The 16,459-nt window shown below is 41.4% G+C and overlaps 2 protein-coding genes across 10 annotated transcripts in view, besides 1 other annotated feature; both read left to right on the top strand.

Annotated features, from left to right (window-relative positions):
- CILK1 (ciliogenesis associated kinase 1) overlaps positions 1 to 16,459 on the top strand; it is a 60,522-nt gene that overhangs the window by 11,555 nt on the left and 32,508 nt on the right. For 6 of the 9 annotated variants that reach the window (NR_164684.1, NM_014920.5, NM_001375397.1 and 3 more), the window contains 2 exons: positions 8,862 to 9,134; positions 12,277 to 12,331. Coding sequence is in view for 8 of the 9 variants with exons in the window: in NM_014920.5 (NP_055735.1) it covers positions 9,034 to 9,134; positions 12,277 to 12,331 (156 nt within the window). In the remaining variant the exon portion in view is untranslated. Of the gene's footprint in view, positions 1 to 4,480; positions 4,605 to 8,861; positions 9,135 to 12,276; positions 12,332 to 16,459 lie in introns of all 9 variants that reach the window. The other 3 variants (NM_001375400.1, NM_001375399.1, NM_001375398.1) reach the window with 1 other exon arrangement.
- Positions 5,644 to 6,198: an enhancer, noted in NCBI's record as "H3K27ac hESC enhancer chr6:52908870-52909424 (GRCh37/hg19 assembly coordinates)". NCBI's record gives its function as "activates a minimal SCP1, AML or CMV promoter by ChIP-STARR-seq in primed H9 embryonic stem cells {active_cell/tissue: H9 hESC(primed)}" and the evidence as "EXISTENCE:reporter gene assay evidence [ECO:0000049][PMID:30033119]".
- Positions 8,885 to 9,004, top strand: LOC128092246 (uncharacterized). Its single transcript, NM_001414897.1, has one exon. The coding sequence runs from the start codon at positions 8,885 to 8,887 to the stop codon at positions 9,002 to 9,004; it is 120 nt and encodes a 39-aa protein (NP_001401826.1).

Below are 16,459 nucleotides of genomic sequence, written 5' to 3'. Positions count from 1 at the left end.
GTGGTCTCTGGTCTACACAGTGTGAAATCTTTGTATGCTAATGTCATATACTCAGAGATTTCAGGCTGGAATTGTGATGTCTTGTCAAGTATCAAATTTTTGATATTTGCCTGCTTCTTTCTTTGAAGCACTGACTCTGTAGATGTAGATGTCTCCCATTAAGTATCAAAGAAGGATGTATTAACATTAATACACTAAAAATAGTCATTAGAGTGCTGAAACCTTTTTTCCTGTTAGAACTCCAATTGAGGCTGGGCACAGGGGCTCCCACCTGTAACCCCAACACTTTGGGAGGCTGAGGTGGGCAGAGTGCTTGAACTCAGGAGTTCAAGACCAACCTGGGCAACATAGCAAGACCCCGTCTCTACGAAAAATACAAAAATTAACCAGGCCTGGTGGTGCATGCCTATAGTCCCAGCCAATCAGGAGGCTGAGGTGGGAGGATTGTCTGAGCCCATGAGGCTGCAGTGAGCCATGATCACACAGCTGCACTCCAGCTGGGAGACAGAGCAAGACCCTGTCTCACAAAAAGAAAAAAGAACTCAGCTTGAGAGTTCTGTGTTTGCCTTGGTTGCCTTTGACTGAAGCTCTGTGGTTATCTGTAGTAAATGTCACTATGGATGGCATGCAGAGTGGTCCCCATGTTGGGCCCCACTTGTCATGCAAAGTGGAATCCTTTCATGTTTCCCACCTGCCATGTTACAGGCACATGACTGGATTGCACAAGGTCACAAAGCTTCAGCTAGCTAGTTGTCCAAGCAACCTGGAGTGATACTGAGGGCCGTTTTTGGACATTCTTTTACCACAATAGGTTTGTATCTTACTTGCATCTTATTTTCTTTCAAAATGGAAGCAGATAATGGAAAGCAAATGAACATTAGGCTAATAGTTACTTCTAATTTGTCTCCAGCTGTACACCTCTTTCAGTCTTCAAAACTATGCTAACCATAAAGGTCTATCTGTCACCTCCTGTAGAGAATTTTGTATTTTGTCACCTAAAATACAAAAGTTAGTATAGCCCACTGTAAGTGGGTGTAGCCCATAGTATCAGGAATGCTTTCAGCTGTAGTGGATAGATTAACAGTGACTTCTTCAACAGAGACCTTCAATTAGGTTGTAGAACAATAAGCCCAAAGGCATATATTTTCAGGGTTCAAGCAGCAGCTCACTGATGTCATCAAGGACTCAACCTCTTTCTATGAATACACCCTCTGCAGCTGGGATTCTCATCTTTAGAGCTGATGTCTCATAGCCGTCTCTGCCTCAGCCCTAAATATCACACTTTACACAGCCATGTTCAATGCCGCTTCTTTGTCAACTGTCTTTATTAGGGAGTAGATTCCTTCTCAGAAGCTCTTCTTCCTCACCAGCTCACTTCCCTTTCATTCTCGTAAGTCCGAGCCATGGCACCACTCCTAAACAGATTTTAGTAAGGAAGTAGAATTCCTTTGCTTGGCTTAGATCTATCATAGTTCATGCCCTGGGGTGGCTGCTGTGCCTGAGTATGTCGAATCCTGAGTAAAATCAGGTTCTGTAAACTAAGCAAGAAGAGAAGCATTGCTATGGAGTAGAGCAGCGAAGGCGCCTACCATGGTCCCTTCTTTTTTCTAGTGCATTGTCCATCGCCCTATTTTCCCAGCGCAACAGTAAGTTTTTGTTCTTTACTTTCAGATTATGAGGTGACTCATCATATTTGGGCCACCACAAAAAGGATGAATAGCTGAACAATACCATTCTCAAATGTATTTAACCACATCCTGCTAGGATATGCTCAGATTGGACTGTGAGCTGACTGGTGCTTCTTGTCTAATGCTATTTTGGCTAATACCATTCACTTTTTTTCAGTATGGGAAATAATTCACTAATGTGAATAATAGAAAGCTCAAAGAGTGGTCATGGTTCTTGTTCTCTGGAACCATACCTAGTGTAACTAACCCTTCTCTCTGATATCCTTTGTACACTTGGAACAATTATCATGGCTTTCCAAGTCTCCTTTGCTTCCAGCATCCGGTGTTTCTTCATCTACCCTTCTTGTACTTTCATTTAGATGCCTCACTATGTTCTTTAATATTTCTCTTGAAGTTTGGCCTCTGGAGCAGTAAACCAAGGATGTGATGGGACTATTGCATTCCTTATTCTGAACACAGGCTGCCTTATTTAACAACTCCAGTGGGCACCTTTCACGTTGTGTTCTATGTGAATGGAGTACCCTGGAGTTACACAGTGTATCAGCCTTGTCTGAATGCTGTGTTCCCAATAAGAACTCCAATAATACTCTATCTTTGGGGAAAAATAAAACAACCTTAGAGCTATTTGCTTATTGAGCATCTCCAGTGAGAGGTTTTGTACATACCTCAAATTCAGCCCCCGAGAAAACAGAACCCACATCTCTGTACATTGTCCAAATAACACAAAAACACACATTCCCTATCTCAAACCCATAGTCTCCTGTTGTATCTAAGACTCACCCAGTCCAGTGCCTTTGTTTGGGCTTTCATCATATTTCACCTGGGCTATTGGAGTAACCTCCTAATTAGTCTCTGCCTCTGATCTCTATTCTAACATCTATGTAGTCTCCAGAGGGATTTTATTCATGCTGTTTCTCTGCTTTAAAAACTCTGAGGAACTCCCTTCTGTAGGATAAAAATCAAACTCCTGCGTGAGGCCAGGTGTACTCACGCCTGTAATCCTAGCACTTTGGGAAGCCAAAGTGGGAGAATTGCTTGAGCCCAAAAGTTCAAGACCAACCTGGGAAAAAAAAAAAAAAAAGAGACCTCATCTCTTAAAAAAAAAAAAAAAAAAAAAGCCTGGTAGTGTACACCAAGTACTCCCAGCTACTTGGGAGGCTGAGGTGGGAGGATTACTTGGGCCTAGGAGGTTGAGGCCACAGTGAGCTGTGATTTTCACCACTGTACTCCAGCCTGGGTGACAGAGTGAGACCCTGTCTCAAAAAAATAACAAAAGCAAAAACAAAAAACTCCTGCATGACACACATACTCGTTCATAATTGGGCCCACCCTAACTTTCTAGCTATTTCCTGCAATTTGCCCCATCGCCCTCCATTGAATTGGTTTTACGCTCTAGCCTCGTACCCAGCCCTGGTTGCACATTAGACCTGGAAAACTTTCAGAACTCTCAAAGCTCAGCCCCCATCCTGACCTGCTTCTTGGGGCTGGGGCTAGGCATGAGTAAATGTTAAAGGTTCTCTAGGTGATTCTGTATTCAACCAGGGTGAGAAACATTAGGCTGTGCCTGCCCTCTTGTGAACACACCAAGCTCTTGTATTCGCCAACATTTTTACAGTTTCCTCCACTTATAATTTCTTTCTCTCCTTTTCTGTGTAAGAAAACCTTTTTCATTTTTTAATATCTCAATACTACCTCTTCTCTGAAGGATTGTCAGATCTCTCTCCTCCTCCCAAGAGTTGGTTGCTGTCTACTGCATTCTCATAGCAGTTTCTACATTTTTTGTGTATCTGTCAGTTGTGAGTGATTTAAAGGAGAGACCCTAGCCTTATCCATAATGTGCCCAAGAGCCTTGCATAATGCTTAGCATCTTATTAAAGTTTAATTAAAATTATACCATGTGCCATCAATGCTTGAAGAGACACTAGTCTGATCCATTGTATAGTTGTTAGGTAATTACCTGAAGTAGCATTAGAAATTAGAAAGTAACTGCCATGGTATGGTGAGAGTCATATCTTGCCACAGTAATTAGATTTTGTTCCTTGATAATATGACAGACTATAACAAGGAGGAATTGTTGGGGTGACTGTGCATTGAATGAATGACCCACTCTATCTGGATTTCAATGAAGCTCTTAATTCTTTCACAGATAGCTTTCCCAGTGATAATCTAGGAACCATTGTTCCAATTGTACAATTTAAGTGGATGAGGAAGGGACATTAATTATCCAAAAAAGGCTTTATTATTAATAACTGATATAAATCAGTAGTATAATGCCATTGCAAAAAGCATGAGGGAAGCCCACATGCTACTGTAATATAGGTTACTATTAAGTTTTGGTCACCATAGTTCATCAAGGAGATGGAGAAATGTGTGAGGATTCAGAGATGAATGCCAAAGGTAATTAAAGGAGTGGAAAATGCTTCCTCTGAGAAAAGGTCATGTAATTAAGGCAGGAGAAGGCTGAGAGACACATGCTTGATTACTCATTTCATGTGCATAGACATTTTTATGACATAGCTTCGTTATATCCACAGAAAACTAGGCAGAAGAAATTTGCTTAAGTTAGAATATGCAAGTTTTGGTTGGACATGAAGAAAAATATTCTAACTGGATTACAAAATGCAGATCTGATCATGTTAGTCCCTAGTTACAAAACTTTAATTGACTTCCCATTGTCTATAGGGCAAAGCCTTCTTTAAAAAATAAAAATAAAGACATTGTTTATTAGTTGGCTGATTTTTTTTTTTTTTTGACAAATCAAGCTTCCAGGAATTTTTTTTTTTTTTTTTTAGGAAGATGACATACAACGATGGTTTGGGAGTCTTAATTTGTTGGAAAGTGAAATAATGAATGATGGAGGATTCATACACAGATGTGTCTCAACTTAGAGTGGGGTTACATCCCTATAAACCCATTGTAAGTTAAAAAATCATTGTCAAAAATACATTTAATACACCTAACCTACTGAGCATCATTGTAAGCCTAGCCTATCTTAAACATGTTCAGAACACTTACATTGGCCTATAGTTGGGCAAATTATCTAACACAAAGCCCATTTTATAATAAAGTGTTGAATATCTCATGTATATAATGAATACTGCACTGAAAGTGAAAAACAGAATAGTATGGGTGCTCGAAATACGATTTCTACTAAATGCATGTAGCTTTGGCGCCATTGTACAAAGTCAAAATATCGTAAGTCAAACCATCAAAAGTTGAGGACTGTGTGTATGCTATAGGAAAAAAATAGTTGAAGATAAAGAAGAAAAAGGGGAAAACAAATGCAGAGCCAAAATTGCTTGTGCTGTGGTCCAAATATACTTTTTGGGTTAAGGCACAGCCTGAATCCAATCTATTCCATAATACAGTAATCATGAAGTGGAGGAACCATGGTATATGATAGTGTTCTGTCTTCTCAACAAGTTGTATTAAATAAGTCTGCATTTGTATGTTTTGATCTAAGATAAAACATTTAAGATGCCTGTATCTTTAAAAAATTTCCCTTCTTCTACCATTTTAGGGATAATTGAAATTTTTAATCTATAATAATTTTAAATTTACATAAATTGCAAGAATACCAAAAGAATACCCATAGATCCTATCTTAGTCTGCCTGGGCTACCATACATAACATAGTAACATAGACTGGGTGTCTTAACAGAAATTTATTTTTTTCACAGTTCTGGAGGCTGGAGAGTCCAAGATCAAATGGTTTGGTTTCTGGTGAGGGCTGTCTTCCTGGCTTTTAGATGGCTGCGTTTTTCCTGTGTCGTCATTTGCTAGGGTGTGTGGGGGAGAGGTAAAAGACACTAGCCCTATTGTATCAGACCCCTACCCTTACGACCTCTGTAGCCTAATTACCTTTCCATAGGTCTGTCTCCAGATACAATCTCATTGGAGGTTAGGGCTTTAACATGTGAATTTGGAGGAGGGATATCATTCAGTCCATAGCATACTCTTTACCCAGATTTACCTGTTGTTAACATTTTACCCCATTTGTTTTCCTCGCAATGCACACAAAATTTTTGTTCTACCCACTTGAGAATAAATTGCATACATCATGGCCCTTTACCTGTAAACCCTTCAGAGTATATTTCCCAAGAATGAAACTATATTCTTACTGAATCACAGGACAGTAACTACAACTACAATAACTTTAACACAGATAAATATTTTTATCTAATCTACTGTCCATGGTTTCAGGATGAAACTGCTCCACCTCAGATCATCAGGCATTAGTCTCCTAAGGAGCACGCAACCTAGATCCCTCCCATGGGCAGTTCACAGTAGGGTTCGTGCTTCTGTGAGAATCTAATGCCGCCGCTGCTGATCTGACAGGAGGTGGAGCTCAGGCAGTAATGCTCACTCACCCACTGCTCTCCTCCTGCTGTGTGGCCCAGCTCCTAACAGGCCACAGACTGGTTTACAGCCCTGGGTTTGGGGACCCCTGCTTTATTGCATTTTCTTCTCCAGTACAGAATCCAGTCAAAACCTGTATTTTAAAAAATGGCATCTGGGTTCCTCCATAAACAAAACTCTGCCAACTCTTTCCACAAGTTCCCCCTTTCCCACCCCCTAATTTCAAGCCCTGCCTCTTAGTTTCTGCTTCTTGGAGTGCTAGAACCCCATTTGCCCTACAAAACACCTACTTTTCTCTTTTTTAAGACAATCTTTTATGAAGATTTTTCCTGCCCTCCCTAAGCCCAGATGGAATTAACCCAGCTGGAAACCAAGAGGGCTTTCTCCTTAATTCCCCTCCACATACTTGAAATATCTTAGTTTGTATTCATGAGTGGTACATATCTGCTTCCCCCCTCCCATCCACACCCCCATCCCCTGCCAGGAGACTCTAAGCTCTTTAAAAGAAGGGACCATATTTTATTGGTCTCTATATCCTCAGAGCTTAAAGATAGGATCTGTCACACAGAAGGTGCTTTATAAATATTTATTAGTCATCAATGGAATACATCACCCTAAAGAGCTACTGAAGGAGGTTGTAGGGAGTCTGATCCTGAAGAGTTTCAAGAAGGAAAATGCCCCTCCAACCAGAGGCCTTACAGTGGTTCTAGGGGAAAGGGAATGAGCTGAGGGTGGGTAGAGTGGGGCTTGATCTCTAAAAGCTTGTTTGATTCTGTGATAAAGCATGGTAAAATCAGGCAGGAGTTTTATATGTCTTAAGATTTTTCAAGCTCACACACGGCTTTCAGGAGAACACAGTCTGGATTTATTTATTTATTTTATTTTTTAATATATATATATATATTTTTGAGACCAAGTCTCACTCTGTTACCCAGGCTGGCGTGCAGTGGCGTGATCTCGGCTCACTGCAGCCTGTGCCTCCCGGGTTCAAGCGATTCTCCTGCCCCAGCCTCCCGAGTAGTTGGGACTACAGGCACATGCCACCACACCCAGCTAATTTTTGTGTTTTTAGTAGAGACGGGGTTTCACCATGTTGGCCAGGCTGGTCTCAAATTCCTGACCTTAGGTGATCCACTTGCCTCAGCCTCCCAGAGTGCTGGGATTACAGTCATGAGCCACTGCGCCTGGCCTATTTTTAAATTTTTAATCTTGAACTAATTTTAGACTTACAGAAAACTTGCAAAAATAGTACAGAGTTCCTAGAAACCCTTCACCCCACTTTCCCTAATATTAATATCTTACATAACCATAGAACAATGATCAAAACCAGGAAATTAGCATTGGCACAATACTACTAACAACAGATCTTACTTAGATTTTACCAACTTTTTCACTAGTGTCCTTTTCTATTCCAGGGTCCTGTGAAGGATCCCACATTGCATTTATTTGGCATGTCTGCTTAATTGCCTCCAATCTGTGACAGTTCCTTAGTCTGTCCTTGTCTTTTGTGATCTGGACACTTTGTAGGAATACTAGTCACTTTACATTATTACTACAGTTTCTTTATTATAGGCAGACTGAATTATATAAATGAAAAATCAATGACATTATTTTTAAGACACAAACTGAATGACTTTAAAAGGAGCATACCCTGCACATAGGCCTTGAATTCCTAGTTCTTTGTTTAGCTTCTGAATGTCTAGTAGTGATAATAATACCATTGATGCTTAGCCACACGTAGTTCATGGAGCACACTTAAGTTCTGCATCAGGAGAACTTTAGCATTTCTTAGCTTTTGTATGTTTACATTGTTAATTGTAGCTCAAGTGTATAGAACACAGTATATTTAGCGAAATTTTCATAGCTTGGCAATTTTCATCGACCACAGTTATCTCTCAGTGTTTGCCCAGAATGGTTAGTCAGCAGAAAAGCATTGAATTGGAGCTGATTCATTTCTGAGTCAGTGACAAATTTACTTTCCAAGCATAATATCTCTAGTTGTATAAGAAATTAGAAAAGAGCATTATTTAGACCAAGGGTTAGTGAACGGTGTAAAGGGCAACATAGTCAATACACTAAGTCCTCATTTAACTTATCAATAGGTTCTTTGGAAACTGTGACTTTATGCCAAACAACATATAACAAAACCAATTTTGCCATAGGCTAATTGATATAAACAAGAGTTAAGTTCCTACAGCATATTTCTGGTCATAAAAACATCACCAAACTTCCAAATAAAGACTAAAACACTTTGAATATTAAACATTGGAATGGATGTGAGCTATAAATACATTTAAGAAAGATTAAAAAAAAAAGGTAAGGTAATTATTTACCTACTTAATCCAGTTTACGATCGTGGGTGGTCAGAGCCTATCCCAGCAGCTTAGGGCCCAGAGTGGGAACCAACCCTAGACAGGCACCAATTGCAGGGCACATTCACACACCCACCCTACACTCACTCAAGCCTGAGACAGTGTAGACATGCCAGTTCACCTAGTGTGCACCTGGAGAAAACCCACACAGACACAGGGAGAATGTGCAAACTCCACATGGACAGCAGCCCCAGCCGGGAATCAAGTTTTTGTCCCTCATCAACATTATAATGAAACAACATTATTCCAAAACCTGCTGTACTTTGGGCTTTGCAGGCTCTACAGCGTCACACAACTATTCAGCTCTGCTGTTGTAGTCATGAATGGTATGCAAGTATGTGGGTATGACTGTGTTCCAATAAAACACAGATTTAGACTTACAAAAACACGTATACTCAAAATGTATATTAACATTTATCCTTGTCTCTCATTTTTCTCTGCAGGCAGAAGACTGATTTTTGGAAATATGTATTTGGGAGACAGTCACGTCCTATTGAATACCTTGTGCTGGTGCTGCCATCGAAAAATCTGGTTACACTCTGGGGAGGACTGCTACCACTGCAGAACTGAACCACTTCGGCCGTGAGATGAGTGTCCGGCCTGAGCAGGCACACCATGAATAGATACACAACAATCAGGCAGCTCGGGGATGGAACCTACGGTTCCGTCCTGCTGGGAAGAAGCATTGAGTCTGGGGAGCTGATCGCTATTAAAAAGTAAGTTTGATCCTTCACTGCCATGATAATTTTAACTCTACCCTCACCATTACCCGTCTTTGTAACAGTTCTAAAGGGGAGTGGGTAGGATGCCTAGAGAAGAACCTTAGATAATGATTGCTGTGGGTTAGATGATTATTGACTCTGTAACACTCATGTTAGAGGTCTGAAAACATTTCCACTTTAGATTTACTACTTTGCACATAGTAAAAGTACTTGTTATCAAAGTGTGTTTTCTCTTATTGTGAGGTAGTAACAAGCAGGTTAATAAACATCATTTTACATGAGAGGAAACTGAAACTCTAAGAAATAAGATGACTTCATTTGGGCCATCTACATGCGTATGGTGGTCTGGTGACTGCTGTCTTGTTCCCTCTGCACCCCCTTGCCCTTCACAACCTGAGTCCAGACACATTGTATTAGTTATCTGTTATTGTGTAACAATTTACTCCAAGACTTAGTTGTTTAAAACAACACACATTTATTATCTCACAGTTTCTCTGGGTCAGGAGTCTGGACACAACTTAGCTAAGTTCTTTGCCTCAGTATCTCTCATGAGGCTGTAGTCAAGGTGTTGGCCAAAGCTGGGGTCTCATCCAAAGATTGGACTGGGGAAGAATCCACTTCTGAGCTCATTTTGTGATTGTGAGTTGATCTATGGGTTGTTGGCCTGAGGGCCTCAGTTCCCTGCCGGCTGTTGGTGGGAGGCTGCCCTCAGTTCCTTGCCATGTGGGCATCTAAAAAGCAGCTTACAACATGGCAATTTGCTTCATCAAAACTTGGGAGTCAAGAAGGCAATGAGAGACTTGTACTGAGATGGAAGTCATATCTTGCTTTTGTAAATTAATCACAGAAGTGACATCCTTGTCAAATTGCTATATTCTGTTGGTTAGAAGCAAGTCGTTGAAGGAGAGGGGGTTCTAAAAGGCCCTGGGTAGCAGGAGGTGGGAGTCTCTGGGAACCACATTGGAGACTGCCACAACTATCTCTATCCAGTTGACTTGTCAGCATCTATATTTGAATGCCCTGCAGACATTTCACACTCACCATGCCCAAAACTACACTCATATTTAGCATATTCTCTCTTACCCCAAATTTGTTTCTTCTTCAGTGTTTCCTATTTCAATAATTGGTACTATACCCTCAAAACCTGGGAGTCCTCCTGCCTTCCCTCCCCATTATGCCTCACCTTTAGTCATCTAGTACTGTCAATTTTACGTAATATTTATGTCATCCACCTACTTCTGTATATTCCCACTGCTAACCTCCATTCAACCCATTACCATTTGCCACCTCCACCATGAGGTCCTCCGCCACTAGGGCTCCTGGCTTTTTTCCCCCTATTCATATCAGACCAAAGGGATTATTTTAAACATACAACTTCAATCATCTAAAACTACTTGACCAAATGTTCTTTGTGTTCCATGAACACATCCCTTGCTCCCACCTGATGTCAGTGCAGCTGTAGCGCACAGCTCTATGCCCATGCCAGCACCCCATCCCAAGTGCATGTGGGAGACTTTCAACCAAGGTGCATTCTGTCCAGCTCCTTAAAAGGTCCCCAGCCTGCCTGAGCCAGTTGCCAACCCTGTTATTGGCTTACTCATACACCCATTATTGGGTTCCCTACCTCTCTTTTCTCAGTCTCCTGCTCCTTGCCCTGGCTTCCTGGAATCACCTCCCAAATAAACTACCTGCACCCAAGTTCTTGCCCAGGCCCTGCTTTTGGAGGAATCCAAACCAAGACAGCTTCCAATGTCTTCCTGGCAGTTTTAGGATGAAGCCCCAAATGTTTATGTGACCTACAAATTGCTGCATCATTTGGCTGAGCCACTGCTCCCGTCAGGTTCACTTTTATAGGCCCTTTTCCTTTCTTCACAGCACTTGGTACAGAAAATTATTTTCTACCTTCCTGCCATGATGTCAGTTTCATGAGGGATGTCTTTCTCATCATTGTCTCTCCAGTGCCTGACAAGGCACCTACTGTACTACATAGCAGGGGCTAAATAATATTTCGGGCATGAATAAAGGATTTGATCACTCTACCGGGAGACAGTGTGACAAGGACAGAGTGAGCTGGAGAGATGGGAAGTTTGTTATTGGCCAGCAGTAAGACCTCGGGAAAGTCGTGTACCTTCTCTGTTTCTGTTTCCTCAGCTGTCCTATCTGTTTCACAGGACTGCTATAAGACAAATGAGACAATGTGATTGAAATGCACTGAAAAATATAACCTTGAAAGTTGAATTTCTGATTAACTCTGGAGTTTTCTTTTCTCCATTGAGGCTCTAGACCAGGGGTTGGCAAACTTTCTCTATGAAGGGCCAGGCTGTAAATATTTTAAGCTTCACAGGCCATATGGTCTCTTGCAACTACTCAGTTCTGCTGTTGTAGTTTGAAAGCAGCCACAGGCAGTATATAAATGAATGAGTATGGTTGTGTTCCAATAAAATTTCACTTATAGAAACTGGAATTTGAATTGCACAAAATTTTCACATTGTGAAATATTATTCTTCTTTTGACTTGTCCCCCAATTTAAAAAGGTAAATGCCATTCTTAGCTCGTGGGCTGTACAGAAACAGATGGTGGTGAGGTTTTGGCCCATGGGTCATAGTTTGCTGACTCCTGCACTAGAGGGTCTAGAACTCTGCTGTCTAGTATGATAGCAAGTAACCATATGTGGCATTTAAATTTAAATTTAATTAAAATTAAAATTCAGTTCCCACATTGTGCTAGCCACATGCCAAAGTGCTCGGTAGCCACATGTGTCTAGTGGCTACCATCCTGGACAGCACAGAGCAGTTTCACCAATATAGAAAGTTCTGCTGGACAGCTCTGGTCTAAATAGAATAAGCCTGAGCAATTTCCTTCCAGAGCAAGGTTAGTTAGTTAGTATAGAGTAAGACAGCAGTCCAGGCCTCTTTGGACTGCACCACACCACTGCTACTGGCAAAATTTGTGACTTAGGATTATTGCACTGCTGTTTGAAAATAAGTGCTGGTTTGGGATAGTATAATACTGGGTAGAAATTTAAACCCACTTTAAGTACTGTTAATTAGGATCAGAATGGAAGCATTTTTCTAAAAGCAAAGTTTAACCTATTACTGAGAATAAGTGTGCTGTTTGTTTCTTTCTTCTCTTCTAGAATGAAAAGAAAATTTTATTCCTGGGAGGAATGCATGAACCTTCGGGAGGTTAAGGTATATATTAATATACCAAGGAATAATTTATGGATGATTAAAATAGCTTTGTACATGCTTAGATTTATAGTTGATATAGTCATTTCATTTGAATTTTTTCACTAATGCTGGAAAGGGAGGCAAATGATAACATTACAGCTGAAGCAGAAGATTATGGTATAATTGTATATACTGTTATTAGAAAGCTTTCATCTTTAATGGATCACTTATATCAATATATTTCAATATAAAGAAGTTGAATGTGTTGATTTAGTGAATTATTATTGCCTATTTTCTTAATTATTAACGTAAAGGAAAATCACTTGTTGAGTGTTTTTCCTAGACATAATAGCAGTACTTACTTCAGTTTCTTGCTCTAATAATTTGCACTCCACTTTCTGTGAGGAAATTCATTGACCCCCACACCCTTGCGCTTGTTGAGCCTCACACAGACTTACCAGCACTGGGCCACAGCCTAACCCTGAACACAGAGGGGAGGGAAGGCAGAAGCGGGTAGAAAGGAGGCACCTTACAAGATTCCTCATCCGTTCCTCCTTGCTGAGGTCCTTCTTTTGTGCCATGTCAAGCATTGTGGAGCACCGATCTTTACTTTTATTCAGCCTTCTGACTGGATTCATTATTCTCCTCCTTTCCCCCTGCCCCTGGGATTCATTATTCTCCTCCTTTCCCCCTGCCCCTTCTTCTATTGATTTTGTTCCAATTTTTCTCTCTGTCAGAGTAGATTGATCACATTGAGTTTTACATGCATAATTCTCTTCCTTGTGCAGTGGAGTGGTGCTTCATCTAATTTTAGTCCTCTCACCCAGCCCTGTTTGAAACACCTAATAGAATACTGAAAAACACCCTTTCTTTTTCTCCAAAGGGGTCCTGTACATGGAAGTGAGGTTACAAGTCTAAAGCAGGGATCAGCAAACGTTTTCTGTAAAGGGCCAGATAGTCAGTCTTTTATGCTTCTAGGACTAAAAGGTCATATTGAAGATGTTATATAGATACATGTGTAACAAGAGCAAAAACAAATTTCCATAAAATTTTTATTTATAAAATATAAAATGTAATAATAATTTAGTATAATTTTCTGTATTAGAGGTCTTCCAGTGAGAAGAATGATATTCTTTTTGAGGGGACATAATATTTAACTTAATTGGAGTTCAAAGTTAGTGTTCCCTGTCATCAAACTGATTGCAACCGTTCATTTATAAAAGTATTCTTTTTTATCTTTTTTGGGCTGGGTGTGGTGGCTCACACCTGTAATCCCAGCACTTTGGGAGGCTGAGGCTGGTGGATCACTTGAGGTCAGGAGTTCGAGACCAGCCTGGCCAACATGGTGAAAGCCCTTCTCTACTAAAAATACAAAAATTAGCCAGGTGTTGTGGTGGGTGCTTGTAATCCCAGCTACTCAGGAAGCCGAAGCAGGAGAATCGCTGGAACCCGGGAAGTGGAGGTTGCAGTGAGCTGAGATTGTGCCACTGTACTGCAGCCTGGGTGACAGAGCAAGACTCAGTCTTAAAAAAACAAAAACAAAAATATTCTTAGCTTGTGGACTATACAAAAACATGTGGTGGGCTGGATTTCACCCATGGGACATAGTTTGCCAACCTCTGTTCTAGAAAATAAAAGTTTGAGATGATCCGAAAACATCAGATATAAAAAAACAAACATCAGAGATAAAAAACAAAGATAATCCAAGGACATTTTCTCTGTGACATGAAGTTCTGAGAGGTATCCATGGCTTGGATGTTAAACCTTTATTTTTCCAGACAGCTAATTGTGTATTAGTTCTAATGCAAAAGAGATTACTCATATATACAGTTTAGAAAAACTATGGGCACATAGTGTCTTAGGAAGCAAGTGACTGCCTCGGCAAGATAGTTGAAGAAACTGCTCCTCTAGCTGATGACCACCAGACAACTCCCACTCTTTCCTTGCCTGCACAGATGCCACATCGGCTGCCAACTGGGATCCTCCCCACCCCCACACCCACGCGCTTGTTGGGCCTCACACAGACTTAGCAGCACTGGGCCACAGCCTAACCCTGAACACAGAGGGGAGGGAAGGCAGAAGCAGGTAGAAAGGAGGCGCACCTTACAAGATTCCTCATCCCTTCCTCCTTGATGAGGTCCTTCTTTTGTGCCTGCTGACTCAGAAGGGGAAGGGAAAGGAAGGTCACTGAAGGCCTCTTATCACTGTCGTTTCTCATGTCCTGCCAGCTGCTTCATTCCAGCAGCAAAGGGAACTGAAGGGAAATCCTGGGTACTCACCACGCCACTGTTCCTTCTTCCTTTCTCCTCATTGCTGCCTGCCTGTACATTTGCATGTCTGCCCATGAAGACCCTGTGGACTTCAGGGATATTCTGCACCTCACGGCCATGGCAGGGAGGGGAATCCCTGCTCCCATGATGTCATGCGGGGAATGGCACCTGGTGCTATTTTTCTTAGAAGCATAGTCTTACATGGCACTATGCTGTTCTAGACACCATCTTGAAACCATAGGCTGCCTATATTCTGCCTACCGTGTTCCTTTGCTGTTTTGGTTTTTTTTAACCATCTTAATTTTTTATATCTGTAGGTTCTTGCTGCAACAATTTCCCCCTCCTTCCCATATCATTAAACTCTTTTTTTTTCCACCTGCTCATTCTTTTTAGTCTATAAATGTGCCCACCATTCTCTCTAACCCAAAAAAGTCCCAAGCCCTTCTCCCCTTGAGTTTCTACCTCTTTCCTTTTCTTACATTACCTTCCAAACTTCTTTCTTCAGTGCAGCTTTCCCACACGCCATTTACTTTTCAACCTCATCAAGTCAGGCATCTCCCTCTGCAACTCTACTTAAGGCAGCAGATTCACCAGAAGAACTCAGCAGGTATATACGTGGCATCCAAATGGTTTGCGCCCTGCCCACTTCTCCAGCCAAAGTCTTACAGATGAGTCTCCCTCAGAACCAAACTAGGTTGATTCTCATCCTTCGTCCCCCAGACACAGAGTCCTCCACTCAGTTTCCATGCCTTACCTGCAGCGGGCTTCCCTCCTGACATGCCCGCTCCCTCCCAGCAAGCTCATCCAGGTGTCACTCTTCCTTCAAGTCACATCTTGGTGATGCTCCCACTGACCACTCAGGGTTTGCTGATTACTCCTTGACACATCTCTGATGGTCCTTGTTTCTGTCATTCCCTTGACACTTAGTATGATCTTCTTTATTTTATTAGATGTATTTTGTATCCATGTCCTGACTTTCCAATTAGGTTGTTTGCCTCTTAAGAGCAAGCACTGCATCTTAAGCCCCAGGATACCCTGGGGGCCCAGTACATTGTTGTTTTAATAGTTAGAAAGTGTTTCTCAGTCCCTGATGTGGACAACATTGGTAATATCCAACTGAAAGCTTCATCCATGAGGATAAACAGTCCACATTTGGACTGTTGATTGGGCTTAATTTGCTACTTCTGCTTCTCCACTCTGACACAACTGACCTGCCTCTATCTCTGCTTTGGAATCCTTTCCTGAGCCAAAATAAGATGCCTCTTTCTGGAAATACATCTTCATAAAGCCAGTCACTTGACGTCCCCCACACAAAATTAATTCTTTTTATATTAAACTACTAGGGACTTTCTTGTTCATGAGACTCACCTAGAAACAAAAGCTGTGAGCTGCCATAGAGTTGGCCAGTAATTCATGGCTCCAAACACACTTCAGGCTAAGAGCTGGAGGCACCCCACTCCTTGCCTAGAATTCTCTCCCAGGAAAGCTTTAAAACCACTTCATTTTCTGCTGAATGAATTTTCCCCAAGGCTGCTCATCCACTAGCTACCTCAGCCATTGCTTGTGATGCGTTTTAAGCAAACAGGCATAAAAGATAGCTGTGATCACTGAGAGTTTAGTGAATACTTACAAGTTAAGCAATGTTTATATTTGTTACTCATGGAGAACCAGGAATCCAACCCGACCGAAAGAAGTAATCAGCCCCTTTGGTCCATACTAGAAGGATCTAGCAAAACAATTGGCCAAAACAGCTGAGGATTCCCTGCCAGAGAAGTATGTTGGCAGGAACTATTCTTCTGGGGAGGAAGCTCCAGAGAGTCTTATTTTGTTCTCTTTTGCTGACCATATTTCCTCTCTCTCGCCAGCTGCTTGAAGTAAC

The sequence above is a fragment of the Homo sapiens genome, chromosome 6 (genome assembly GCF_000001405.40).
Source record: "Homo sapiens chromosome 6, GRCh38.p14 Primary Assembly".
NCBI classification, from domain to species: domain Eukaryota; kingdom Metazoa; phylum Chordata; class Mammalia; order Primates; family Hominidae; genus Homo; species Homo sapiens.
Note: the sequence above shows the minus strand (reverse complement) of the source record. Positions and strands in the feature narration are given on the sequence as shown.

Excerpts from the sequence above, each read along its gene's own strand:
- LOC128092246 (NM_001414897.1), top strand. The coding sequence starts at position 8,885 with ATGTATTTGGGAGACAGTCACGTCCTATTGAATACCTTGTGCTGGTGC.